Here is a 26,565-nt window from a genome sequence, read left to right on the forward strand (position 1 = left end):
GCTCCAGAGAGCTCCCTTGCAGGCCCCAGGGGCCAGAGAACAGCGTGCCTGGCTGAGGCTCCCCAGGGCAACTGCCCCCAGGCGTCCCTCAACCCATTCTGGAAAGAGGGGGCCAGCACAGTGCAGAGGAGACAGGGCACAGAGACCGGGGAGCCACTCCTCTCCAAGTGTCCCTCCAATGAGGGAGGCCTGGGTGAGCCATCAGGAGGGACGGCCTTGCAGGTTGGCAGAAAGGCCCCAAGGGCAGCCGGCCAGGCCTGTGCTGTTCCACGCGGGGCTCAGCCCCGGAGCCTGGTGGCCCTCAGAGGCCACCAGAGGGCTGTCAGCACTCAGACTAGCAGGCAGGCTCTGAGTTCCCAGTAGGCCCTGAGCCTCTGAGGAGGTGGCTTCTGCAGGGGAGAGGGGAGGGGGCAGAGAGCAGAGGCCAGGCTGCAGAGAGAGCAAGGTCCTCATTAGCCAGCAGTTTGGAAATTTCTGTTTTGGAAAGACCCTTCTGGTGACAGCTGCTGGGGCAGTAAGACTAGAGACGTCTGTGGAAAGACCCAGGCGGCCTGGCCAGGGATGGGGTCAGGACTTGTGAGATGCCCAGGAGATGGGGGCACCTGAGAAGTCAGGGGACCTGGAGCGGGCTGAGTTGGGCCAAGTTTCATTTTATGTGTATAGTCACATGTATGTCTCCCACATGCATGCAGAAATAACGTGCTCTGCTCACAGGTTACACATTTTGAAAGAGACCTTCTATTTTATTTTATTTTTTGAGATGGAGTCTCATTCTGTCACCCAGGCTGGAGTGCAGTGGCACCATCTTGGCTCACAGCAACCTCCGCCTCCCAGGTTCAAGTGATTCTCCTGCCTCAGCTTCCCAAGTAGTCGGGATTACAGGCACCCGCCAATACACCTAATTTTTTTGTATTTTTAGTAGAGACAGGTTTCACACCATGTTGGCCAGACTGGTCTTGAACTCCTGACCTTAAATGATCTGCCTGCCTCAGCTTCCCAAAGTGCTGGGATTACAGGTGTGAGCCACCGTGCCCAGTTCTGAAATACACCTTTTAAATCAACCTTTACAAATGCATTATTCAAATAGGCCACATTTGATCCAGTTCCTGAATTTATCAAAACTAAGGATGATGTGTTGAATTTTCCCACTACAATTCTTTTTGTCAATGTCTCCTTTTATTTCCAAGGGTATTTGACTTCTAGATTTCTTGACTCTTCGAATTTGAAGTTTCTCGGTTAACTTTTCCTGAGTGGCCTGCATGTCCTGTGACTGCTGTTTGTCTTCCTCTTGGCCTCTGCTTTTTTGGTGTTTGTGGTTTCAGCCTTCATTTCATCAGCCTGGCTCTGGTTTCAATCTCACCTTAGAGTCTCTGCCTCTTCTGGGGGAATTTGTCCCATGTAGAAGTTTTGTGGTAACCCATGCTCTGTTTTTCCTTAGGTTGTTCATAGGACACTTTCTCCTTTCCGTGTGTCTTTCCTGCCTGTCCTGTCTTGCATGGCAGGGATGATTTATTCATCCTCTTTTCCCTTAGCATTTGCATCCAGGGCATCTTATGGCTGGGCCAGGACAGCGCCCTGCCCCCTCCAGGGGCCGAGGGTCTTGTCCCTTCCCTTCCCAGCTGCACTGCTTCCACCTGCGCCCTAGGAGCTAAGACTTTTGCTCCTTAGAATTTCCTGCTCTGGACAATCCCCTCTTCCAAACCTGCTCCCCAGGGGGGCTCTGGGCTCTCCTGCCTGTAGGTTGAACTTCTCTTGGTGTCTGTGGACCCCAGGGCTCTCTACCCACAGCAGCCCACACCTGGTGCACTACTTTTTGCAACAAATTACTGATGACTTAACCCCACTTTTGAGCCCCCAGTCCCATAGGTGAGAAGCCTGGCATGGTGTGACTGGCGTCTCCCCTCTGGGTCTCACAGTCATGGGGTAGGCTGGGCCACCCGAGGCCACGGGGAAGAGTCCTCCTCTGGGTTCATCCAGGTGCTTCTGGGGGCATCCGGGCTCATCCCAGCGTGGCGAGTCCAGCTCTTTGCGTTGTCGGGCTGAGCCTCATTTCTGTGCGGTCGGCCAAGGGCTCCCCACTCCTAGCCAGGGGCTTCCTTGGCTGTGCCACAGTGTGGCAGCAGCACCTGCACCCCACGCCCCCCATCTCCACGTGCCTCACACCTCATGGCTCCCTTCTGCCGACACCCGAGGGTGTGCGTGAGTGGGTGAGACCCACCTGGGTGGTCACCCTTTGCTTAACTCAGAGTCAACTCTTCACATCCACAAAGTCCCCTGGCCATGAATCCAACGTAATCACAGGATAACGTCAGGGCCAGAGCTCACAGGGCCCTCTGAGGGCTCTGCCTGCCACGTGGGTCCGAGCAACATGTTACCAGCTTTGGTGAACTCCATGCCGCTGGTTTGATGGGTGGGGCCGCTCATGGCATCTCTCCTGGAGGGGCCTGGCTTTCATTCGATTCCAGGCTCCTTGTTTGCCTCTGACCTTGAGTTCAGATGGGTTCAAGAAATGTGCGGATTCCCTGGGTTCTTTGTGTTTTTCTTGTCAGTGCTCTTTCCAGAGTGGCAGCCAGAGGCCTCCTTGTTTTTGAAATTCAAAAATGTCACCAAAATGTGGGCGTGTCGGCCCCTTTCATTATTTTTACCTACCCCGGCAAACCCTCCCTACTTGCAGAATCAAATCTACCTTCTGTTTACAGAGGTTCCTTCCACTGTAAAAAAAACATCTCTTCTCCTTCTCCCTCTTCTCTGTTCTTTTGTCCTGGAATTCTCAGCATCCCAATACTGATCCCCTGGACCTGTCCTCCTGGCTTCAATCTTGAATTTCTCCTTGTCATCTCGGTTTTCCCCAAGGTCCCAGGAGAATTTCAGGTCTTACTCCTACTCAGCTAATCTCAGGATCTGCCGCATCTCGTCTGCTGCTCCTGTCCCCACGGTGGCCTCGTTCGGCCTGAGTTTTCATTTTGGATTGTCCACCTCAAGACCCCTGCCCTGTCCTCACCTTGAGAACACTAGTTACCATCTTCTGGTGTGTGTCAGTAGCTCACTTCTCTGTTTAATTAGAGACTCTCAGATCTGATTCCTCAGATCGACTTTATTTTCTCAAACCCCAGTGGATACTAGTTTTGTGATTTTTTTCCTTTGCGTGTCTTTAAAGAAAGGAGTTCTGGCCTCGTTTGAAGTTGGGAGTGGAGAGGAACCCATCAGGGACTTTATGTGTCCCCATCCAAATATTTCAGGCTCAAAAGAAAGGCAGAGAGAAGGGTTCCAAGATCCTGCAGCCACAGGGAGCCATGGGGAATATGGGGAGCCAGCAGTGGAGTTCTGGCCCTCCCGGAGCTGTTCTGTTCCTGAAGTGGGCGGGGTGGGAGCGGCGCTCTCCGGTGCACGGTCACGGTGCGGTCCTCCACCTCCCCAGCTGCTTGCCTCACAGGGATGGAGGGCTCCCCGGGTCCCCCAGCCACAGCAACCCTCTTCCCTGAGGTCCTGGTAGTACAGAGTTGCCTCCCCAACACCCCTGCAGCTCCCTCCAGCCCTCGCCCTTCTGAGTCAGGGTATGGGGACATGGGGGTCCAACTTTGGGTCTCCACAATGAGTGCAGAGGACGTCTCTGACATTGACCAGACCTTTGTCTGTATGCATTTTTCTGCTTGGTCTAGAATTTGCTCAACTTTTTTAGTGAAATGTGCTAAAATCTATCATTATGGTGTCAACGTTTTCTTACAATTCTGGCAATTATTATTTCACCCATTTTTAGGCCAAGTTGGTCTCATCTGCCCTCGGGAGTCCTCCAAGTCCCTGGTCTCCAGCTCTGAGGAAAGTTTTTCCCAACTTTTTGTAATCTATGAGTCATTGTGATAGGTTTCTGGATTCAGACACACCTAAGTCACCAGAGGCCCCCGCTTTTGACACACAGCAAACCCAGGCAGAGAGCTCAGGGTTGAAATTTTCTAGCCAGCCAGGGGGCTGGGAACATAGCCATGCTCCCTGCTGCCCCATGCCCCTTGCTGAGCAGGGGGGTGCTAGGGTCCAGTAGGGCAGGCCTGGTGCCTCTCCTGGCTCTGCCAAGCTCCCGGCACAGTCTAGAGCCAGCTCTGCCTTTGACACAACTTCTTTTGCTTTCATGGGTTGGTTTTTCCCCTGTTTCACATAAGCCGATGTGTTTGTCAAGAGAAAGTTAATTAAAAACATATTTTTCTAATTAAATGGTAGGCTGTGCTATGCAAACAGTAAGATTCTTGTTTGAGAGCAAATCCCTCCCCGTTTCCAAGGCTACCCTGGGAATTCAATAGAACAGCCGTGCAGGACCAGCCCGTGGTGTCAGGACACGCACGGAACGCAGCAGCAGTGCCCAAGTAGCTGGCCAGGTCTCTGAGCAGGCGGGAGGCCTGGCACTCACTCAGCATCACCCACAGCCTCATGCCCGCTCAGAAAGGCCCCCCATGCCACCCTTGGACTGGCGCCCAGTCACAGCCTCCGTGGCTCAGGGAAGCTCACGGCGTTCTTGGACTCTTGCCCAGGCCTCCTTCCCCCACTGTGCCCACGTGCCACACCCACCCCCCCAGCTCCCCACATCCCCAGTGCCAGCCTTGCAGGTCACCCGCCTGTGGGGGCTCAACTCAGCGTCAGTCACAGGTTCTAAAAGTTTCCGGGGTCCACATATGCCCACAGCTAGCAGAGCAGCTTAGGGCCAGCGGGGCCCACAAGGTGGACACTGAGCCACAGTCAGACTTGATTACTCTCAGTGTTTTGTCAAGAATTTTTGCATCTGTAATTCCTTTATGGTGACATAGTTTTCAGATTTATTTGTGTTAAGAAAATTGTATTATTTTATAAAATGAGTTGGTGGGCTTTCCACTTTTTCCATCACCTGGAACACTCAAAATAACTTTTCTTGAGAGGTTCATTGAACTCCCCTGTACATATTCCGCAGCTGTCATCATAAAGAATACACTTTAATTCCCTTTCCAATCTCTTTTCTGTCAAGGGTCTGCTTTCGTTTTCCATTTCTTCTCGGGTCAGTTTTGCCCTGTGGGAGTGTAACTTATCTTACACATTCAATACGTTGCCAAAGACCTGCACATACGTCTGCTTAGCATCATCTTCGTTATATACATGGTCTTGTCAGCAGTTACACCTGCTTTATATGCGTAGTTGTACCTTATTTACATGTGGAGTTATATCTGTTTCTCTCCTTCGTGTTGGAGATTTGTTTCTTTCCCTTAATCTGATTTGCCAACGGTTCATGTTTTATTCCTCTTTTCAAAGAATCAATGTATCTCTTCTTTTATTTTTGTTTAGTTTATTGATTTCAGCTTTTATTTCTAGGAACACTCTATTTTTATTTTTAGTTTACTTTTTTTTTTTTTTTTGAGGGTCTTGCTCTGTCACCCAGGCTAGAGTGCAGTGGCATGATTTCGGCTCACTGCAGTCTCTACCTCCTGGGCTCAAGCGATCCTCCCACTTCAGCCTCTTGAGTAGCTGGGACTACAGGCACATGCCACTACACCTGGCTAACTTTTGTATTTTCTTTCTTTTTTTTCTTTTTTTTTTTTTTTTGTAGAGATGGTGTTAAACCATGTTGCCTAGGCTAGTCTCAAACTCCTGAGCTCAAGTGATCCACCCACCTCAGCCTCCCAAAGTGCTGGGATTACAGGCATGAGCCACCACACCCAGCCAACACCCTCTTTTTGTTGTAATTTTTCTTATTTCTTGAAAGGAATAAGTAATTTGTTTATGCTTGGGCTTTCTCTTTAATAGTAAGAGCATTTAATGTGATCCCATTTTCCCTAATTGTGGTTTGGTACGTGTCCCATCAGTTTTTGATGTGAGTTCTTTTCCTTTTTACCAGTTTTCTAGAAGTTTCCATTTTTATTTCTTCTTAAATTTGGGGGTTATTTGAAAGCATGAGTGTGTGTTTGTGCCACTTTTTATTGCTTACGTCATCTTCCTGGAGAGGCTGTGGCTTTGGGCAGGGATGACGGTTTTCTTTTGATCAGTGTCTGGGTGGATCTTTGTTTATGCTCCTGCTTTGTCAGTTGTTTATTGGTCGTTTGCTTTTTTGGTTTGGTTTTGTCTATTTGTTTGTGATGTGTTTAGAGAATACTGGACAAACTGATTGCAAAGTTTACAGGAAAGAATAGATGTTTGAGATTTTCCAAGAAAATTTTGAAAGTGAATAGTACAACAGGCTATAATGCTAGTATGGTCAAAGCAGGAGAGGCTGGTAGAATAGATGCAGAGGCAGCAGGGCAGGCCAGAGTCCAGAGGAGGCCCTGCCACCATGAACTGGCACCAGACCCTGCCCTCTGTCTGGCCCCAGAGTCCCACTGTGTGGAGTGAAGGGCTCCAATCCCCTTGTATCTGAGGACTGTCCAGAGCTAACTCTGTCCTGTGACTGGCCTGAGGGCAGGACGGGGCAGCTCGCCAGTGCAGGGAGACCAGGGGATACCTGCCAGTGGGCAATCAAATTGGCCCATCGTCGCCCAGTGGATAAATGGGTATGAGGCTGAGGACCCCAATTCCAGAGCCCAAAGGATGGATTTGGCGAGTGTTTATGACGTGTCCTGTCCTTCTCTGTGCAGCCGGCAGGACGCTTAACGAGGCCTTTGTCCCTTCTGCTCCTGTTCAGATATTTCCCAGCCTTCGCTCCCAGCCTTCCATGCAAGCCCTTCATTTGTAACAGCTTCCCTGGGGGCATCTCAGAATCCAGCATCCAACCAGCCTGCTTTTTTTTTTTTTTTTTTTTTTTTTTTGAGACAGAGTTTTGCTCTCGTTGCCCAGGCTGGAGTGCAGTGGCACGGTCTTGGTTCACTGCAACCTCTGCCTCCCAGGTTCAAGTGATTCTCCTGCCTCAGCCTCCCAAGTAGCTGAGATTACAGGCGCCCGCCACCACGCCCGGCTAATTTTTTGTATTTTTAGTAGGACTGGGGCTTCATTGTGTTGTCCAGGCTGGTCTCGAACTCCTGACCTCAGAAAATCTGCCCATCTCAGCCTCCCAAAGTGCTGGGATTACAGGAATGAGCCACAGCGCCCAGCCCAGCCTTCTTTTGGTCTCAACGAGACCCCTGTGAGACTGCATCATACCCATGCCCCAGATGGGGAGACTGACACTGCAGCCCCACATGCTGGCTCCAAGACCGGGCTCATCCCTGCTCAGTCTCTGGGGTAGGAGCCTCAGAAGCCCAGGCTCATCCCTGCTCAGTCTCTGGGGTAGGAGCCTCTGGAGCCCAGGCTCATCCCTGCTCAGTCTCTGGGGTAGGAGCCTCAGGATCCCAGGCTCATCCCTGCTCAGTCTCTGGGGTAGGAGCCTCTGGAGCCCAGGCTCATCCCTGCTCAGTCTCTGGGGTAGGAGCCTCAGGAGCCCAGGCTCATCCCTGCTCAGTCTCTGGGGTAGGAGCCTCTGGAGCCCAGGCTCATCCCTGCTCAGTCTCTGGGGTAGGAGCCTCAGGATCCCAGGCTCATCCCTGCTCAGTCTCTGGGGTAGGAGCCTCAGGATCCCAGGCTCATCCCTGCTCAGTCTCTGGGGTAGGAGCCTCAGGAGCCCAGGCTCATCCCTGCTCAAGCTCTGGGGTAGGAGCCTCAGGATCCCAGGCTTATCCCTGCTCAGTCTCTGGGGTAGGAGCCTCAGGAGCCCAGGCTCATCCCTGCTCAAGCTCTGGGGTAGGAGCCTCAGGAGCCCAGGCTCATCCCTGCTCAGTCTCTGGGGTAGGAGCCTCAGGAGCCCAGGCTCATCCCTGCTCAGGCTCTGGGGTAGGAGCCTCAGGAGCCCAGGCTCATCCCTGCTCAGGCTCTGGGGTAGGAGCCTCAGGAGCCCAGGCTCATCCCTGCTCAGTCTCTGGGGTAGGAGCCTCTGGAGCCCAGGCTCATCCCTGCTCAGTCTCTGGGGTAGGAGCCTCAGGAGCCCAGACTCATCCCTGCTCAGTCTCTGGGGTAGGAGCCTCTGGAGCCCAGGCTCATCCCTGCTCAGTCTCTGGGGTAGGAGCCTCAGGATCCCAGGCTCATCCCTGCTCAGTCTCTGGGGTAGGAGCCTCAGGATCCCAGGCTCATCCCTGCTCAAGCTCTGGGGTAGGAGCCTCAGGAGCCCAGGCTCATCCCTGCTCAGGCTCTGGGGTAGGAGCCTCAGGAGCCCAGGCTCATCCCTGCTCAGGCTCTGGGGTAGGAGCCTCAGGAGCCCAGGCTCATCCCTGCTCAGTCTCTGGGGTAGGAGCCTCAGGAGCCCAGGCTCATCCCTGCTCAGTCTCTGGGGTAGGAGCCTCAGGAGCCCAGGCTCATCCCTGCTCAGTCTCTGGGGTAGGAGCCTCTGGAGCCCAGGCTCATCCCTGCTCAGTCTCTGGGGTAGGAGCCTCAGGAGCCCAGACTCATCCCTGCTCAGTCTCTGGGGTAGGAGCCTCTGGAGCCCAGGCTCATCCCTGCTCAGTCTCTGGGGTAGGAGCCTCAGGATCCCAGGCTCATCCCTGCTCAAGCTCTGGGGTAGGAGCCTCAGGATCCCAGGCTCATCCCTGCTCAAGCTCTGGGGTAGGAGCCTCAGGATCCCAGGCTCATCCCTGCTCAGTCTCTGGGGTAGGAGCCTCAGGAGCCCAGGCTCATCCCTGCTCAAGCTCTGGGGTAGGAGCCTCAGGATCCCAGGCTCATCCCTGCTCAAGCTCTGGGGTAGGAGCCTCAGGAGCCCAGGCTCATCCCTGCTCAAGCTCTGGGGTAGGAGCCTCAGGAGCCCAGGCTCATCCCTGCTCAGGCTCTGGGGTAGGAGCCTCAGGAGCCCAGACTCATCCCTGCTCAGGCTCTGGGGTAGGAGCCTCAGGATCCCAGGCTCATCCCTGCTCAGTCTCTGGGGTAGGAGCCTCAGGATCCCAGGCTCATCCCTGCTCAGTCTCTGGGGTAGGAGCCTCAGGAGCCCAGGCTCATCCCTGCTCAAGCTCTGGGGTAGGAGCCTCAGGATCCCAGGCTCATCCCTGCTCAGTCTCTGGGGTAGGAGCCTCAGGATCCCAGGCTCATCCCTGCTCAAGCTCTGGGGTAGGAGCCTCAGGATCCCAGGCTCATCCCTGCTCAGTCTCTGGGGTAGGAGCCTCAGGAGCCCAGGCTCATCCCTGCTCAGGCTCTGGGGTAGGAGCCTCAGGAGCCCAGGCTCATCCCTGCTCAGGCTCTGGGGTAGGAGCCTCAGGATCCCAGGCTCATCCCTGCTCAGTCTCTGGGGTAGGAGCCTCAGGAGCCCAGGCTCATCCCTGCTCAGTCTCTGGGGTAGGAGCCTCAGGATCCCAGGCTCATCCCTGCTCAGTCTCTGGGGTAGGAGCCTCAGGATCCCAGGCTCACCCCTCCTCAGTCTCTGGGGTAGGAGCCTCTGGAGCCCAGGCTCATCCCTGCTCAGTCTCTGGGGTAGGAGCCTCAGGAGCCCAGACTCATCCCTGCTCAGTCTCTGGGGTAGGAGCCTCAGGAGCCCAGGCTCATCCCTGCTCAGTCTCTGGGGTACGAGCCTCAGGAGCCCAGGCTCATCCCTGCTCAGTCTCTGGGGTAGGAGCCTCAGGAGCCCAGGCTCATCCCTGCTCAGTCTCTGGGGTAGGAGCCTCAGGATCCCAGGCTCATCCCTGCTCAGGCTCTGGGGTAGGAGCCTCAGGATCCCAGGCTCATCCCTGCTCAAGCTCTGGGGTAGGAGCCTCAGGATCCCAGGCTCATCCCTGCTCAGTCTCTGGGGTAGGAGCCTCAGGAGCCCAGGCTCATCCCTGCTCAAGCTCTGGGGTAGGAGCCTCAGGATCCCAGGCTCATCCCTGCTCCGTCTCTGTGGTAGGAGCCTCAGGATCCCAGGCTCATCCCTGCTCAAGCTCTGGGGTAGGAGCCTCAGGATCCCAGGCTCATCCCTGCTCAGTCTCTGGGGTAGGAGCCTCAGGAGCCCAGGCTCATCCCTGCTCAAGCTCTGGGGTAGGAGCCTCAGGATCCCAGGCTCATCCCTGCTCAGTCTCTGGGGTAGGAGCCTCAGGAGCCCAGGCTCATCCCTGCTCAGGCTCTGGGGTAGGAGCCTCAGGAGCCCAGGCTCATCCCTGCTCAGTCTCTGGGGTAGGAGCCTCAGGAGCCCAGGCTCATCCCTGCTCAGTCTCTGGGGTAGGAGCCTCAGGAGCCCAGGCTCATCCCTGCTCAGTCTCTGGGGTAGGAGCCTCTGGAGCCCAGGCTCATCCCTGCTCAGTCTCTGGGGTAGGAGCCTCAGGAGCCCAGACTCATCCCTGCTCAGTCTCTGGGGTAGGAGCCTCTGGAGCCCAGGCTCATCCCTGCTCAGTCTCTGGGGTAGGAGCCTCAGGATCCCAGGCTCATCCCTGCTCAAGCTCTGGGGTAGGAGCCTCAGGATCCCAGGCTCATCCCTGCTCAAGCTCTGGGGTAGGAGCCTCAGGATCCCAGGCTCATCCCTGCTCAGTCTCTGGGGTAGGAGCCTCAGGAGCCCAGGCTCATCCCTGCTCAAGCTCTGGGGTAGGAGCCTCAGGATCCCAGGCTCATCCCTGCTCAGTCTCTGGGGTAGGAGCCTCAGGAGCCCAGGCTCATCCCTGCTCAGGCTCTGGGGTAGGAGCCTCAGGAGCCCAGGCTCATCCCTGCTCAAGCTCTGGGGTAGGAGCCTCAGGAGCCCAGGCTCATCCCTGCTCAGGCTCTGGGGTAGGAGCCTCAGGAGCCCAGGCTCATCCCTGCTCAGTCTCTGGGGTAGGAGCCTCAGGAGCCCAGGCTCATCCCTGCTCAGTCTCTGGGGTAGGAGCCTCAGGAGCCCAGGCTCATCCCTGCTCAGTCTCTGGGGTAGGAGCCTCTGGAGCCCAGGCTCATCCCTGCTCAGTCTCTGGGGTAGGAGCCTCAGGAGCCCAGACTCATCCCTGCTCAGTCTCTGGGGTAGGAGCCTCTGGAGCCCAGGCTCATCCCTGCTCAGTCTCTGGGGTAGGAGCCTCAGGATCCCAGGCTCATCCCTGCTCCGTCTCTGGGGTAGGAGCCTCAGGATCCCAGGCTCATCCCTGCTCAGGCTCTGGGGTAGGAGCCTCAGGATCCCAGGCTCATCCCTGCTCAAGCTCTGGGGTAGGAGCCTCAGGATCCCAGGCTCATCCCTGCTCAGTCTCTGGGGTAGGAGCCTCAGGATCCCAGGCTCATCCCTGCTCAGTCTCTGGGGTAGGAGCCTCAGGAGCCCAGGCTCATCCCTGCTCAGTCTCTGGGGTAGGAGCCTCAGGAGCCCAGACTCATCCCTGCTCAAGCTCTGGGGTAGGAGCCTCAGGAGCCCAGGCTCATCCCTGCTCAGTCTCTGGGGTAGGAGCCTCAGGAGCCCAGGCTCATCCCTGCTCAGTCTCTGGGGTAGGAGCCTCTGGAGCCCAGGCTCATCCCTGCTCAGGCTCTGGGGTAGGAGCCTCAGGATCCCAGGCTCATCCCTGCTCAGTCTCTGGGGTAGGAGCCTCAGGAGCCCAGGCTCATCCCTGCTCAGTCTCTGGGGTAGGAGCCTCAGGAGCCCAGGCTCATCCCTGCTCAGTCTCTGGGGTAGGAGCCTCAGGATCCCAGGCTCATCCCTGCTCAGGCTCTGGGGTAGGAGCCTCAGGATCCCAGGCTCATCCCTGCTCAAGCTCTGGGGTAGGAGCCTCAGGATCCCAGGCTCATCCCTGCTCAGTCTCTGGGGTAGGAGCCTCAGGAGCCCAGGCTCATCCCTGCTCAAGCTCTGGGGTAGGAGCCTCAGGATCCCAGGCTCATCCCTGCTCCGTCTCTGTGGTAGGAGCCTCAGGATCCCAGGCTCATCCCTGCTCAAGCTCTGGGGTAGGAGCCTCAGGATCCCAGGCTCATCCCTGCTCAGTCTCTGGGGTAGGAGCCTCAGGAGCCCAGGCTCATCCCTGCTCAAGCTCTGGGGTAGGAGCCTCAGGATCCCAGGCTCATCCCTGCTCAGTCTCTGGGGTAGGAGCCTCAGGAGCCCAGGCTCATCCCTGCTCAAGCTCTGGGGTAGGAGCCTCAGGAGCCCAGGCTCATCCCTGCTCAGGCTCTGGGGTAGGAGCCTCAGGATCCCAGACTCATCCCTGCTCAGTCTCTGGGGTAGGAGCCTCAGGAGCCCAGGCTCATCCCTGCTCAGTCTCTGGGTCAGGAGCCTCAGGATCCCAGGCTCATCCCTGCTCAGTCTCTGGGGTAGGAGCCTCAGGATCCCAGGCTCATCCCTGCTCAGTCTCTGGGGTAGGAGCCTCTGGAGCCCAGGCTCATCCCTGCTCAGTCTCTGGGGTAGGAGCCTCAGGAGCCCAGGCTCATCCCTGCTCAGTCTCTGGGGTAGGAGCCTCTGGAGCCCAGGCTCATCCCTGCTCAGGCTCTGGGGTAGGAGCCTCCGGAGCCCAGGCTCATCCCTGAGCACTCAGCTCTGGGGGAGAAGGGCTGGGGTTCTTTCCTGTAGCTACTTAAGCCCTCAGACTGAATCCACGTTTTCAAGGTTTGTTTTGCCAGCCTGCCTCTCACACAGCATCAGGATTTAGAGCCAAAGGGACACAAGAGATGAGAGCAACTCACTGGGGCCAGTGGGGCTGTGCATTAAGGGAGTACCACTCAATTATTACGGTTCATTCAAATTCCATAAAAGCTGAGTCATTACAAGAGGTTTGGGACCTCTTAAAACTGCCATGAAATATTTAAGCCATATTTGCAGAAAACTTCTGCTTTTCTACTGGAAAATTATATAGAAAATTATAATTTTCAAAATTGCACGAAGGGTGAAGCATCACAGTCTTAGGTACAAGCATTGTCTTCCTTCTTTTCCTTTTTTAAAGTAACAAAGTGTCGGACCAAAAAAAAAAGTGTTTTCAGAATCCGGCCACCCCAGAAGGAGCTGGCCATTTCTCCCACAAAACCCTCAGGAAGGTGCAAGGGCTCGGGGCTCATCAAGACCTGACCAGGCCAACTTGCAGTCAACAAGCTTCCAATGACGGACGCCTTGCAATCTCCTTCACACGTCTGGGGTCCTCTCAAGGCCCAACAGCTGCCAGCTCTGGGGCTCAGGGGACACGTCGGGTGCCATCCTCCCTCCTGGGATGACAGGGAGGCAGGATTCCTGCAAGCAGGAGGAGAAGGCAGCAGCGTAGGGTGGGGGCGCCAGCGGGGAGGCTGTGCACAGAGGGCAGCAGGTGCACGTGATCGAAGGGATGGCGAGTTCCCCGGGCAGTGTCCTGGGGGCAGCTGGGAGCACCACAGGCCCAGAGCAAGGCAGTGGCATGGCCGATGATAGTCAAGTGAAATGCACCCTCAGCCATCATGGGGTAGCACCTGGGGACAGTGAGGAAACTGAAGGGCTGTCACTGGTCCCAAGTGGATGATGGCGGTTTGGACAAGCTGAAGGCAGAGGGGCTGAGAAGAGGGCGCAGGGGTGAGGGACACAGCGGGGATCATGGGCCATCCCAGCTTCACGGACTCTGGAGCTCCTGAGCTTAGTTTGGGACTAGCCATGTCCCCAGGTGGGAGCTGAAGCAGGAGAACATGCAGTGTGATGGCAGAAGGGGCAAGCAGGGCCTGAGCCGAACAGGCTCCAGGAGCCTTGGGGAGGGTCACCTCAGGCTTTATCCCAAGGGCAGTAGGAGCCACCAAGGCTGGAGGCAGGGCAGGGATGCCACTGATGTGCCCTCTGAGACCACTGGCTGCAGCAGAGAACCTGCCAAGCCCAAGTCTTTGCCCACGCTAGACCAGACCCCCAGGACTTTCGTCTCAGGCTTCCTGGGGGTCCACACCTTTGAGGTTACATTGCAAACACAATCACCTGATCAACGCACTTCAGGTTGTCCTTAACCACGTTCTTGCTGTTTTCATCCCAGCGATACGGTCCTGCCAGACGGTCTAGGCAGATGCCCTGAGGCCAGGGTTTCCCTGCAGGGCCTCCCACCCCCAGTGTCTCCAGGTGGACCCTGTGTCTCCTTCCCCCCAGGAGCAACTGGAAACGCTGCGCCAGGCTCTTGAAGAGAGCAGGAGGCACAGCCAAGGTCTGGCCAAGCAGGGGAAGCTGCTGGAAGAACAGCTCACCAACTTGGAGCACAGGTGCCAGAAGGCTGAGGTATCGCTGGAGCCCCTGCGACAGGTGAGGGTGACCAGGAGGGCAGGGTACGCTGTCACCAGGAGGCGGTGAACAGGCCTACAGGGAAGAGGCCCTGTGGTCCTTTGCAGAATCAGTCCCTCAACATGAAGGGAGGCCTAGAGAGATGCTGGAGGCAGGTGAGCAGGCCTGCAGAGACCCAGGCACCATCCAGTCCCCCGCTGACAGATGGGGAAACTGAGCCTGGAGGGGCCCACAGGGAGTCAGGGGGCTGGATTTCTTGCCGTACAGTAAGCACCCCTACAACAGAGGAGTCAGCTGTGGACACGCCGTTTAGGAGAAAATAAGTTGAGGCCAGAGCCAGCCTTAGATGGAACGACCCCGCTCTCAGAAACTCGGGCCCTCCCAATCCCTGGCCCACGCCCAGCGTCTTCGGCCCAGGTGCTCTGCAGGCCGCAGAGGCTCAGCGGCGGGCAGGAGGCGGCCGAGGCGCAGGCGGAGAGGCGCGTCCTGCAGGAGCAGACGGCGGCGCTGCGCACCGAGCGGGCGCGTCTGCAGGGGGAGCTCGCGGCGCTGCGCGCTCAGCTCGCACAGGTAGGCGGCAGCGGTGGTCCTTAGAGAGGAAGGAGGAGCTCCTGGCTGGGGTCCGCAGGGGCGCGGCTGGGAGAGGCGCTGGCCCACGCATGCTTCTGTGTCCTCACCTGCCGGCGGGGTGGCACTAAGCTCAGGGTCAGGACGCCCGCAGGTGGCCACAGCCCTGCCAGTGGTGTCGTGTGCGCCCTGCCTTGGCTCTCCCTGGGGAGGCACCATGGGTGGGGGCAAATCCCCGGCTTTGTCTCCAGTGTCTGAGCCCAGCTTTGCTGGAAACCGAGTGGCCTGACACATCACACACCCCAGAGCCCCAGAGGCCCCTGCTCATGGTGGAGATAGCCCCTCCCCAGGGGTGTGCCCTGCGGCTGGAGCAACAGGTGGGCCAGCCTGTGCAGGTGCCCCACAACCTCCCCTCTCAACGCTCACAAGGATAGTGGCCCCTGAGCTCCCGGTAGGGCCTGGGCAGACAGGGTGAGAGACCAGGAAGAGCTCAGTGGTCAAGGGGTGAAGTGACGGTCATCACCCAGTCCTGTCATCCCCCGGCCTCCCCGGTGCAAGACAGGGTTTCCAAGCCCAAAGGTCAGACAAACGTAGACCACTGTGTCCAGGGGTGGGCCGCAGAGGTGAGGCCAGGTGGAGGCACCCTGCTGGCGGGTGGGTGATCCAGTGGTCCTGGCCACTGAGCTCGGACCCTGGACGCAGGTGGACCTGGCTTCCACGCATGAAACCAGACGGAGCAGAACCATTCGCGGGGAGATGAGGGGCGCACAGCCGCCAGGTCGACTGATAGGGAAACAGCCCAATAAAGAGGAAATGGCATTCCAGGAAGCAGGCAGAGCTTCTGGGAGCCTGCACCCCAGCCGTCACTCTGGGCCCACCGAGGAGGAGCCTGCTATGTACAACACCCCCTCCCCATCACCTGAGAGGCAGCTCTCTTGTCCTCTGTGAGCATTCCACACACACCCAGGCACTCACTCCACACACACCCAGGCACTCACTCCACACACACCCAGGCACTCACTCCACACACACCCAGGCACTCACTCCACACACACACCCAGGCACTCACTCCACACACACACACCCAGGCACTCACTCCACCACACACACACACCCAGGCACTCACTCCACACACACACCCAGGCACTCAATCCACACACACACCCAGGCACTCCACACACACACACCCAGGCACTCACTCCACACACACCCAGGCACTCACTCCACACACACACCCAGGCACTCAATCCACACACACACCCAGGCACTCCACACACACACACCCAGGCACTCACTCCACACACACCCAGGCACTCACTCCACACACACACACCCAGGCACTCACTCCACACACACACCCAGGCACTCACTCCACACACACACACCCAGGCACTCACTCCACACACACACCCAGGCACTCACTCCACACACACACACCCAGGCACTCACTCCACACACACACCCAGGCACTCACTCCACACACACACACCCAGGCACTCACTCCACACACACACACCCAGGCACTCACTCCACACACACACCCAGGCACTCACTCCACACACACCCAGGCACTCACTCCACACACACACCCAGGCTCTCACTCCACACACACACCCAGGCACTCACTCCACCACACACACACACCCAGGCACTCACTCCACACACACACCCAGGCACTCACTCCACACACACACCCAGGCACTCCACACACACACACCCAGGCACTCACTCCACACACACACCCAGGCACTCACTCCACCACACACACACACCCAGGCACTCACTCCACACACAAACCCAGGCACTCACTCCACACACACACCCAGGCACTCCACACACACACACCCAGGCACTCACTCCACACACACACCCAGGCACTCACTCCACCACACACACACACCCAGGCACTCACTCCACACACACACCCAGGCACTCACTCTACACACACACCCAGGCACTCACTCCACACACACACACCCAGGCACTCACTGCACACACCCAGCACACACACCCAGGCACTCACTCCACACACACCCAGACACTCACTCCACACACACCCAGGCACTCACTCCACACACACCCAGCACACACACCCAGGCACTCACTCCACACACACCCAGGCACTCACTCCACACACACACACCCAGGCACTCACTCCACACACACACCCAGGCACTCACTCCACACACACCCAGGCACTCAGCACACACCCAGGCACCCACTCCACACACACCCAGGCACTCACTCCACACACACCCAGGCACTCACACTGGGGGTCTCACTGCCCCCCACAGCAGGGTCTGGGTGCATGCAGGGCCCCCACCTGGCAGGTGAGGGCAGAGTGGGCACATGGCCCCAGCCCACGGGGTGGCCTCACACCGATCCCTCTTTCTGTTCATCCTCCTCTCCTTGATGCCGGCCTCTCAAGCTGTCTGCACAGTTGGGCTCCTCCCTGATGGGGACATGGTGGCTCTCCAGGGCTTCAGGGCTGGACACTGCCCTTTCTACAGCATGCGTTGTTTAAATGACTCCAGGGCACCATCAGTGTCCTGCACCGCGACTGGCTCACAAACGGGGCTGAGTGGAGAGGGTGGTGCATCACATGGGCACATGGGCACAGCTCCCACCCACCCTGTGGGTCCAAGGTGCAGGGTGGGGTAGTCCTGGTGGCCTGAGGCCAGAGTCCCCGCGGAAGCTGTGCCCACCTCCCTCTGGACCGGATGCTTTTGGAGGGGCTGCCTCCAGCTCGGCATCCATGGGCCCTGTTGCCCACTACCCAGGCCTCCTCATGGCCCCTTGACCCCAGAGCCCCACACCCACCCCCTCCCAGCTACTCTCCTGCCACCCTTGCTCATGCAGCCTCAGAGTGGCCGCCAAGATCAAGGAGAGCCAGAGGTCAAGGTAACCTGTGGGTCACCCAGCTGTAGGGACAGGCCTGGAAAGCCGAGCCGGTGTTGCCGGCTCCACGACCCATCCACAAGCTCCCACCTCCAGCGTCCTGGGGGACTCGAGCTTGTTCTCCTTGGGAAGTTTGTTCACCATCCCAGGCTGGATGGCGCAGGGGGAGGGGTGGGAAGGGCAGGTGTCTTTGGACTTCCATCCGTGGAGCCTGGGGGACAGCCCCTTGTCCCTCTGCTGTGTGCTGCTGAGGCCCTGCAGGAACAGGGAAGGTGCCCACACAGCCACCCAGGCTGGCCCTGCAGAGTGGGCTGCACCAGCTGTGGGCCCAGGGTTCTGATGCCCTCACAGCCCCCTTCTGGGAGTAGGCAGGGGGCCCCCATCTGTGAAGTGGGGAAGGCAGGTGCTGAGGCCTCAGGGGTGAACCCCAGAGCAGGGTGGCCCTTCCCAAGGACTCACTGCCACCTGCAGAAGGCCCCGCAGCCCAGCCTGCCCAGGGAACAGGGGCCAGCAGGTCAGGACAGTCACGAAAGCCACCAGCCAGCTTGTCCACAAAGGACCACCTGCCCTCCAGAGTAGGGCCAGCCAATGGGGTCCAGTCACCAGCCCCTGCTGCTATTACTGAAGGGGGCCCAGCGCCATGGAGCCAGGGTGTTGGGGCCTCCCGTGGACGCTGCTGGGGGTGGAGGAGCAGGGGGCTTGCATCAGCCCTGGTTGCGACAGCACTGCCCGGGGACGCAGAGCCAGCTGTGGGCACAGTGCCCACCGTGAGTCCCTGGAGCCTGAGGAGGGGGAGGGAAGGAACAGCTAATGAGTTCCAGGAGGTCAGCTGTGAGGGGCCCACAAACCCATAAACCCTTTATTGGTGTCTCAGGAGGGGAAACCCGGATGTGGCCGTTTATTTATTTTGGATTTCACTTTTCTCTTCTCTTTATAACATGCACTTCCAGGAGTGTAACTGGATTTTTAAAGAAACAGGACTTCCTTTTTCAGTGCAGGGGACTCTCTGTTTTTCTCAGTCCTGAAGAAGAAAGGAACCCTTATTTTTTGTAAAGTTCCAACCACTGACCCTGTAACAAACTTTACCCATGCAAATTATCCCCTCTGTCTTAGGGCCCGAAACCAGGCCTGCTCCAGCCCTGAAGCTAAGAGGGCAGGTTTGTGGTGTGCCAAGTGTGTGCACTGAGCCCCAGGTCTGCTGCCCAATCCTGGGCCAGGGCCAGCACCCGACAGAGGGCATTGGGGCCAACAGAGGACTGACCTGGCACTCCAGCCCAAGGCTGTCACCCCTGTGGACACAGCCCCAGCAGGCATGACCCTCGGGGCTGGGCACGGCAGAGCCTGGAGGCAGCCTGGTTGGGAGAGCAGGGCCTGGGTTCCAGGCCTGCCTCAGCGCCTGCCTGGCCCAATGAGCCTGTGACATCATGGGATCCCTTCCACACCAACTCCCCATGAGGCATGCCCCAGGCCATCTGGGGGTGCTGGAAGCAGGCTGTCTGGGGCTGGTGGACGGTGTTCCTCTCCCAGTGCTGCTCTCTGTAAGAGAGAACTCTTAGATTCAATCCTTTCCTCCAGAGGGCCCATTCGCAAGGGAACAAAAGGTCCCTGCCAACTTTCCCATAGAAAATGTCTGTTTCCTGGGTAACCTTCCCTGATTTTTAACCTGGAGCTTATCCCTCCTGACCTGTACCCATGGGGTAGGGAGTGGGTGACTAAGGAGGGAGCACATTGGGGCAGCCTACAGCCTACAAGGAGGACAGACGGTGGGGATAGTGATGCCAATGCCACAGGCTTGTTGGGATTGAGACAGCAAGTGTACCCAGCTCTCAGGGCCTGTGCCTGTACGAGCTCAGCAGATCCTGAGTGCCAACAGCAGAAGGCAGGTGCCAGAGAGTGCAGGGGATCATGGCTCATGAGACCTGGAGGAACACTGAGAAGGGGTTTGCGGGGTAGCTCCTGGGATGTCACCTTAAAAGATGTAGGGAGTCCCCCATTGAGGATGTTGATGGGGCCATCTGCTGCTCTGTAGCTGGATGGGGACTTGGCCCTATGCTCCTCCTTAAGCTGTCACTCTGGCTGCAGATATTGGATAGACCTGGGTGAGGCCAGGGGTCCTGGCCCAGGGCAGTGCCCTTCCTGACGCTGCCAGCTCTTAGGGGAATTCAGAGTCCTTCCCAGAGGCAACCCTGTGCTCCCAGAGGAGGGCTGGCCTGACCTCACTCCCTGCCAGGAGGCCACAGGTTCTGCCTCCTGGGATCTCTGCAGATGGAGCAAGAGACACTGAAGAGGGAGGAGGATGTGGCGAGGCTGGGGGCTGAGAAGGAGCAGCTGGACCAGTCTCTGAACAGCCTGCACCAGGAGGTGGACGGAGCCCTGAGGCAAAATCAGCAGCTGCAGGTCAACTGGGCCAGTGGAGCTCTGCATACCCCAGGCCTGGGGGCAGACCTGGGGTGGGATCCAGGAGGGTGTCAGTTCCAGAGGGGTGGCTGGTGTACCTCCATCTCACACGTGCACACATGGGGAGGGTGGCTGGACCAGCTTCTGCATGTGATGGATACAGACTCAGACCAAGGCCCCAGGCAGAGCTGGAACCAGGACCCAAGGCTCCTGCCCTTCTTGAGACATTGAAGTCCCCATGGGAGCCAGGCCCGGGCTCTGTAGAGCAGCACAAGGGCCAGGTGAGGGAGGTCAGAGAGGCCTGTGGGGCATGGCCAGAGGCTGCTACCTGCTTGTGTTAGGGCGAGGAAATCCCCTGAGGCCTAGGGGCCTGACACCCACAGAAGGGGCCTCAGAGGCTTCATTCATCCTGTCCACATTGGACATACCCCCATCCTCAGAAACCAGCAGGGGATGGGGGCAGGATGGGCAAGAATCAAACTTCGATGCCCTCCGGACACCCAGCCCAGCCAAAAGGAACCTGGGGTGCCATGAAAACAGATTTTAGGCCCACCCTGGAGGCTGTGGCTTAGTCTCCAGCCCAGCCAAAGCCAAACCCAAGGCCCACGGGCTGAACATGTGCACCTAACCCCAGGTCTGCTGGGCAGTCCTGGCCAGGTCAACACCGGCAGAGGGCAGTGGGGCCCACAAGGACAGGTGAAACACCCTGTGGCACTCCTGCCCTGGGATTCTGTGCGGCCCTCAGTGAGAGACAGCAGTGAGATGCCCAAGTTCTCACTCCAGGCCCAGATGACAGAGATGGAGCAGGCCCACACCCAGCGGCTCCAGGACCTGACAGCTCAGCACCAGCGGGACCTGGCCACAGAGGCAGAGCGTCTCCATGGGGCCCGGCCGCAGGCCACGCAGGCCCTGGAGTCCCAAGAATGGACCCACCAGCAGCAGGTAAAGGTGCTGGAAGAGCAGGTAAGGTCGGGACCCCAGCCCCCTGGGTGAGGGAAGAGGCAGGGACAGAGGACTGGCATCCCCGCAGTCACCCAGTAGGGGTGACTTCTTGAAGTCCTCTAGCAACAGGGGCTCTCCACTGCCACCCAGTGGGCTCCAGACCTGCTCCGGGCACTGCCTGCACTTCTTTGCTCTCGACGGCACGAGGTTTATCCCACTGGGAGGTGAAGTGTGGATTCTGGGGCAGGTCACCACCCTCTCTGAGCCTCCATTGCCCTGTCTCTAAAGTGGGGTAGTGAGGACAGCTCCTGTCAGGGGTCACTGGGCGACTGAGCTGTCATTATGTGTGAGGTGCTTAGACAGCACCCAGCATGCACAGTTGTAGCAGAGGTGGCCTCTGCACCTGTCCTTCAGAGTCACAAAGGGAAAACAATGGCACACGTGGCATCTGTGGGGATGAGGTGGGCACAGTGAGGTGGATAAGGAAGCATAGCCAAGCCTTGGGCGTGTGTGTGCACTGCACACCCACACATGCATATGTACACGTGACAGACCTGCTGGGCTGAACCACTGAGCCTTAGAGCTCAGAGCTATCAGGACCTTAGAGCTGTCTGTTCATTTTACAGATGAGGAAACTGAGGCCCAGGAGGTGACCTGACTGCCCAGTGTCATCCCCAAGTTAGGGTCCCCAACCACCAAGGCACTTTTGCTAAATTTATTAGCAAAAGGACATTTATTTATTTCCTTATCATTCTGAGTGTTTTGTTTTGTTTTGTTTTGTTTTGTTTGAAATGGATTCTCACTCTGTCACCTGGGTTGGTGTGCAGTGGCGCGATCTCGGCTCACTGCAACCTCCACCTGCTGGGTTCAAGCGATTCTCCTGCCTCAGCCTCCAGAGTAGCGGGGATTGCAGGCACCCACCACCATGCCTGGCTAATTTTTTGTATTGTTAGTAGAGACGGGGTTTCACCATGTTGGCCAGCCTGGTCTCAAACTCCTGACCTCAGGTGATCCTGATGCCCAAGGCCCACCTCGGCCACCCAAAGTGCTGGGATTACAGGCGTGAGCCACTGCACCCAGCCTCATTCTGAGTGCCTGAACAGAAGCGGGCCCATCCACCAAGGGTGCGCGGTGGCCATACTCCTGAGGCCTCCACAGGTGGGGGATCCGTGGTGAGAGGTGGAACTGCGCATCCCTCTCTGGCAGCAAAGGAGTCAGTCTGACGTCTGCCTGATGTTTCTGTCCCATGCATGCCACCTCTCCTTGGGAGCTGTGGACCATGGCCTCCAGCCCTTCCTGTCACAGAGCCCTCCATGCCTCTATGCCCTGGGGCCCTGGCCGTGCAGCCTGCCCACCTGACCTGAGCCACTGTCCTGTCCCCAGGTGGCCAGCCTGAAGGAGCAACTGGACCAGGAAGTGCAGTGGCGGCAACAGGCCCACCTCGGCCAGGCCTTCCAGACAGGACAGTGAGCCCTGCTGCATACCACCCAGCAGCCTAGCTGCCTTCAGCCCTGACTGGCCAGGGGCAGGCGGCCCTGGGGAAGGTGCTGGAGGCCCTAGGCTGCTGGGGGAACCACTGTTGGGAAAACCAATGCCTTGTGCTCTGCACAAGAGGGACAAAGCTCAAATGGGGTGGGCACGATGACAGCAGAAAGCACAGGGTGCAGGCAGCCACCGCCCGGGCCACCACTCACTCTTCAGGGTCCTCAGGCAGTGGCACACTCTGAGCCCGCTGACCGCAGAGCTCCTCCCACCCCTGGAGACTCAGCCTGCAGCTGGTGCTGGACCATGCTGCGGGTCGCTCATCTCTGACAGCCCCTTCCCCTCCGGCAGAGAGCAGGGGCTTGGGCATCCTCCCAGCCTGCCCCCGCCTGGCACCCTCCCAGCCTGCCCCCGCCTGGCACTCCGTTTCTGCTTTGGAGGAGCTGCTCTGACCAGACCCCCGGGGCCAGGCCCTGTCAGGCTGGCTTCCCCGGCTTCATTCCGTGCCCTCAGCTCTGTAAACACGGGAAAACACGTGGGAAACATTTCCACCAACCGGAGCCAAAAACATAATGTCCTGCAAGGCCAGCCACCACATCCCCACGCCCAGCGGCTGTGAGCCTCCGCATCCAGGAACTGCGGCCGTCACGGTGGCAGGTGGCTGGAAGTGACTCAGATTCAAGTCCCCGTGACTCACTGGCCGCCAGAAGAAGGGGAGTGTAACACTTAAAGCTGTTACAGAGCCTCCCATGTTCCCGGCCTGGAAATGCTGGGAACGGTCCTGTGGGACTCCGGCTGGGTTGCTATGGAGACCCAGGCGGCCATCTTGGGCCTGTGGCGTGGGCCACCTGTGTCCATCTGCACCCCTCGTCTCCATCACCGTTGCTCAGAGTGACTTGTTCTCCTCTCCAAAGGGCCGCATGCTTTATAGGTGGTCATTTGTGATATCTGTGGGGCACCAGCCAGCCCAGTGAATCCCTGCATGTGCCACAGGGGCCTCCCGTCCCAGTCGCAAGGACTCTGGCCTAAGGGTGCAAGGCCAGAGGCTCCCGGCCCCCACCCCATCACAGTTACTGTGAGCCTTGGCTGAATGTGCAACAGTGTCTATTTCAAGATCACTCTGGGACTTAAAATAGTCTGTCCTGGCACACCTGGTTTTCTGGTGGATTTAGTAATGGAGTTACCATATGCTGTAAATCATGCAAAATCAATAACTCAAGAGAGGTGGGCATATAGGCTCCTTCCTGTCTGTTACCTCTGCCTGATTGTTGGTGGCTGTGTTGAGAAGGATTCTGAGGCTCAGCCTGGGCTCTGAGGGGAAGAGCTTGGTGACCCATGAGTGGATGTTACTCTGGGCAAAGGAGGAGTCAGTGGTGGCACAGGTGCCCCGATAGGCACCCCCTGCCATGGCCAGTCAGGGGTGGAGGACAGCAGGCAGGCCTGCCCCCACTGCTGGAGAGTGCTCTGCCAGATGGTGGGTGGAGGGGGTCACTGAGAGGCAGCGTGTGGTGCTCAGGGCCTGGCACTTAGTAGGCATGTCCCTTCCCTGCCTTCCTTCCCCATTCGCAGTCTCCTCATAGAGGGGGCCTCCCGCTCTGCAGCCCAGCAGAAGGGCCTGAGGGATGGCCAGGGCGGGAGGGAGGAACAGAAGTTCAAGGTTCCCAGTTGTGGGCAGGAGACTCAGCATCGGTCCCTCCAGCCCCCGGCAGCAGGAGCCCCCATGTGTCCCCGGGAATGCGGTGTCCACGCCTCCCTCTTTGCATCCCTGCAGCGCCCAAAGGGACTGAAGCTCCCAGCACAGGGGAGGCGCCCAGCGTGGCTGCAGAGGAAGGGAACGCACCGCAGGTGGGAGGGGCCCAGCTGATTTCTCAGCGTCACAGTGAAAGGCACCCGTGATGAGACAGCTCGCTCTCGGCAGTTTCAGGACCCTCCTTGCCCTGGCTGCTCATGGGGAACATTTGAAATGCATGTGGGGGCCTCCGAATTTTGAATTTTAATAAATAGTTGAATCAGCGTAGGAGATGCTATTTTAACTTATTCAACATAGAGACATGTATTTAGGAAAAGAGGATTTTTCTAGTGGAAATACATTGGCATTTTCTTAAACATGTCCAGCGGTCGTGTGTGGGCCTCTGTGTTCCGGTCTCATGATGACTGAGAACCGTGCTGGGGTTTGGAGAGCTCTCCCTCTGTTCTCGCAGCAGCCCTTTGAGCACCTGGTTTGCAGATGAGGAGGAAGCCTTGCTTTGGGACAAGTCTGCACCAGGTCGACAGGAGGGGTCAGGCCCAGGGACCCGACAGCCCAGGCCAGGGCTCCCCCTCCACCGGCCTCGCCCCAGACCCATCTGCCCAGTGAGGGGGCAGGCAGAGCCGTGTTAACCAGAGGATATGCCCCAGATGCTGGGGTCCCCCTGCCCCTTCATGGAGGCAAGGCCAAGGGAAGAAAGGGCTGGACCCCTTCCCACGCACTCCCCAGAGTCAAGGGGAAAAGACCATGCGTGGCCTCCAGCCCAGGCCTGCCTGCACGGGGGTCCCAGCTGTGCCCCCACCAGCTGTGCAACCCAACCCTGGACAGATTCTTTAGGTTTTGGTTTCCCTGTCTATAAAGTGGGGTGACCCCAGCCCCAGAGGGCCATGGTGTGTCCTACGTGAAGTATCGCCCAGGCTGAGGCCAGAAGCACTCAGCTAACGGTGGAGGCACTGTCACCTGCAGCAGCCACGGCTCTGGGAGTGCCATGTCCATCTCCTTGCTGCCATCCCCAGCCACGGTCCAGCAGGGCCAGGGTACTCGAGGGAGCAGCCCCTGAGGCCAGCCTGGTGGAGGCGGCGCAGATCCGTGATGTTCCCAAGGGGAGGGTACTCTCAGGGTCTACCTCTAGAACCCACAGAGAGTCTGGGTGTCAGTGAAAACTCAGAGGTGGCTCTCAGGCCTGTCCCTGCAGGGGATGGACCCCCAGAACCACCTCATGGAGCTGGAGCCACACATACGCTTGCGACCTTGGAGGCCTCCATGGTCTGGCTCTTCCTCTGCCTGCCCTCTCCGGTGGGCAGAGGTGATAAATGTGCCTGAGGTTTCCGAAAGCCAGGAGACCCTCCCCCACACAAGGCAGGGATGCAGGCAGGGGCCCAGCTCCTGTCTGAGACAGAACACAAAATCCCTTCGGATTCCTGCCACCCTTGAGGCTCGCCGAGGAATGTGGGGCACGCAGGGGCTGTTGGAGGGTCCCATCCAGCCTCTGGCCAGGAAGCTCCGACGCTCTGACAGGCCCTCAGGTGCCTGGGTCCGGGGGCAGCACCCTTTGCAGGCATCCAGGGGTTGCAGACCAACACAGGGAGGGGACAAATGGGAGAGGAAGGCCCCCTGGGGAGGGGGCACTGGAGGAGGGGCCATGTTGAACGCAGACGGCGGCACCCAAGGACAGGCCAGCCCTCTGAAGCACCCCAGGTTGAGGGAAGCACAAGCTTTGGTTGGCTGAAGCCGGGGCAGGAAGCCGGCCAGCTGGAACCAAGGGCATTGTTTATCTGGGCTTCCAAAACATTCATACTTTTCAAATTAATTGCAAAAAATGTTAGCAGGGAAACATAGAAAGGAGAATGTAACCACCACCATAATCTGTGACCTGCAGAGCCCCGAGGTGACACCCAACTCTCCCTTTTTCTAGCACACGTGTGCTTAGGACGGTTGAGGCCATAGCGTGGATGCTACTCAGAGTACTATTTTTTAAAACTTTTGCTTGACACAATACCGTTAGAGTTTTCCCGAATCACTAAAAACGTCTCAGAGCATGGTTTTTTTGCTGCGGAAGCTCCGGGGCATCGGAGGACCCTGGGCCTGAGTGTCCCTCCACTGCTGGCTGTCCCTGCCATCCTGGAGCCCACAGAGAATGGGGCTCTGTCCTGTCTTGGGCACTCAGGAGATGGACAAGGCTCTCAACGGGAGGCAGGGTCTCGTCATCCCCAGGACAGGGAGAGCCGATGCCTGAGCCCACGCAGCAGTGAACATCCTGGGAAGGAAGTGTTGAACCCCAGTCCCATCGTTTCCCTAAGAGCAACCACAGAAGTCCCGTCATGGGAGTCAATGTGTGTGCGGCTCCGTGTGCATGAGAAGAGGAGGTACAGGGCAGGCTGCATGGCCCCCACACTCCCTCAGGGCCAACTGCACCAAGACCCCAACCAGCCACACAGGACAGTGACCAGGTGAGCAGGTGGAGCGGCCCTTGGTCCCTGTGACCTCCTGGCCTCATTCCGGAGCATGTGGAGGT

The 26,565-nt window shown here is 58.2% G+C and overlaps 1 protein-coding gene and 1 long non-coding RNA gene across 3 annotated transcripts in view, besides 5 other annotated features; one reads left to right on the plus strand and one right to left on the minus strand.

Annotated features, from left to right (window-relative positions):
* Positions 1-24,320, plus strand: part of CROCC2 (ciliary rootlet coiled-coil, rootletin family member 2) — an 86,976-nt gene extending 62,656 nt beyond the window's left edge. The window contains exons 28-32 of one of the 2 annotated variants that reach the window (NM_001351305.2): positions 13,889-14,038; positions 19,748-19,879; positions 20,663-20,842; positions 22,205-22,287; positions 24,075-24,320. In NM_001351305.2, coding sequence (NP_001338234.1) covers positions 13,889-14,038; positions 19,748-19,879; positions 20,663-20,842; positions 22,205-22,287; positions 24,075-24,090 — 561 coding nt within the window. In that variant the 3' untranslated portion in view covers positions 24,091-24,320. Of the gene's footprint in view, positions 1-13,888; positions 14,039-19,747; positions 19,880-20,662; positions 20,843-22,204 lie in introns of both variants that reach the window. The other variant, XM_024453115.2, reaches the window with a different exon arrangement.
* Positions 12,524-17,146, minus strand: TANAR (TWIST1 associated long noncoding RNA regulated by androgen receptor). Its single transcript, NR_186276.1, has 2 exons — positions 16,908-17,146; positions 12,524-14,694 (listed from the first exon to the last, which is right to left on the minus strand). It is a non-coding gene; the product is annotated as a TWIST1 associated long noncoding RNA regulated by androgen receptor (long non-coding RNA).
* Positions 14,364-14,871: an enhancer, noted in NCBI's record as "H3K4me1 hESC enhancer chr2:241922772-241923279 (GRCh37/hg19 assembly coordinates)". NCBI's record gives its function as "activates a minimal SCP1, AML or CMV promoter by ChIP-STARR-seq in primed H9 embryonic stem cells {active_cell/tissue: H9 hESC(primed)}" and the evidence as "EXISTENCE:reporter gene assay evidence [ECO:0000049][PMID:30033119]".
* Positions 14,391-14,550: a silencer, noted in NCBI's record as "silent region_12524". NCBI's record gives its function as "represses an Ori minimal core promoter by ATAC-STARR-seq in GM12878 lymphoblastoid cells {active_cell/tissue: GM12878}" and the evidence as "EXISTENCE:reporter gene assay evidence [ECO:0000049][PMID:35858748]".
* Positions 14,631-14,710: an enhancer, noted in NCBI's record as "active region_17410". NCBI's record gives its function as "activates an Ori minimal core promoter by ATAC-STARR-seq in GM12878 lymphoblastoid cells {active_cell/tissue: GM12878}" and the evidence as "EXISTENCE:reporter gene assay evidence [ECO:0000049][PMID:35858748]".
* Positions 14,721-14,840: an enhancer, noted in NCBI's record as "active region_17411". NCBI's record gives its function as "activates an Ori minimal core promoter by ATAC-STARR-seq in GM12878 lymphoblastoid cells {active_cell/tissue: GM12878}" and the evidence as "EXISTENCE:reporter gene assay evidence [ECO:0000049][PMID:35858748]".
* Positions 14,872-15,378: an enhancer, noted in NCBI's record as "H3K4me1 hESC enhancer chr2:241923280-241923786 (GRCh37/hg19 assembly coordinates)". NCBI's record gives its function as "activates a minimal SCP1, AML or CMV promoter by ChIP-STARR-seq in primed H9 embryonic stem cells {active_cell/tissue: H9 hESC(primed)}" and the evidence as "EXISTENCE:reporter gene assay evidence [ECO:0000049][PMID:30033119]".
* Positions 24,321-26,565: the final 2,245 nt, after the last annotated feature.

The sequence above is a fragment of the Homo sapiens genome, chromosome 2 (assembly GCF_000001405.40).
Source record: "Homo sapiens chromosome 2, GRCh38.p14 Primary Assembly".
NCBI lineage: Eukaryota > Metazoa > Chordata > Mammalia > Primates > Hominidae > Homo > Homo sapiens.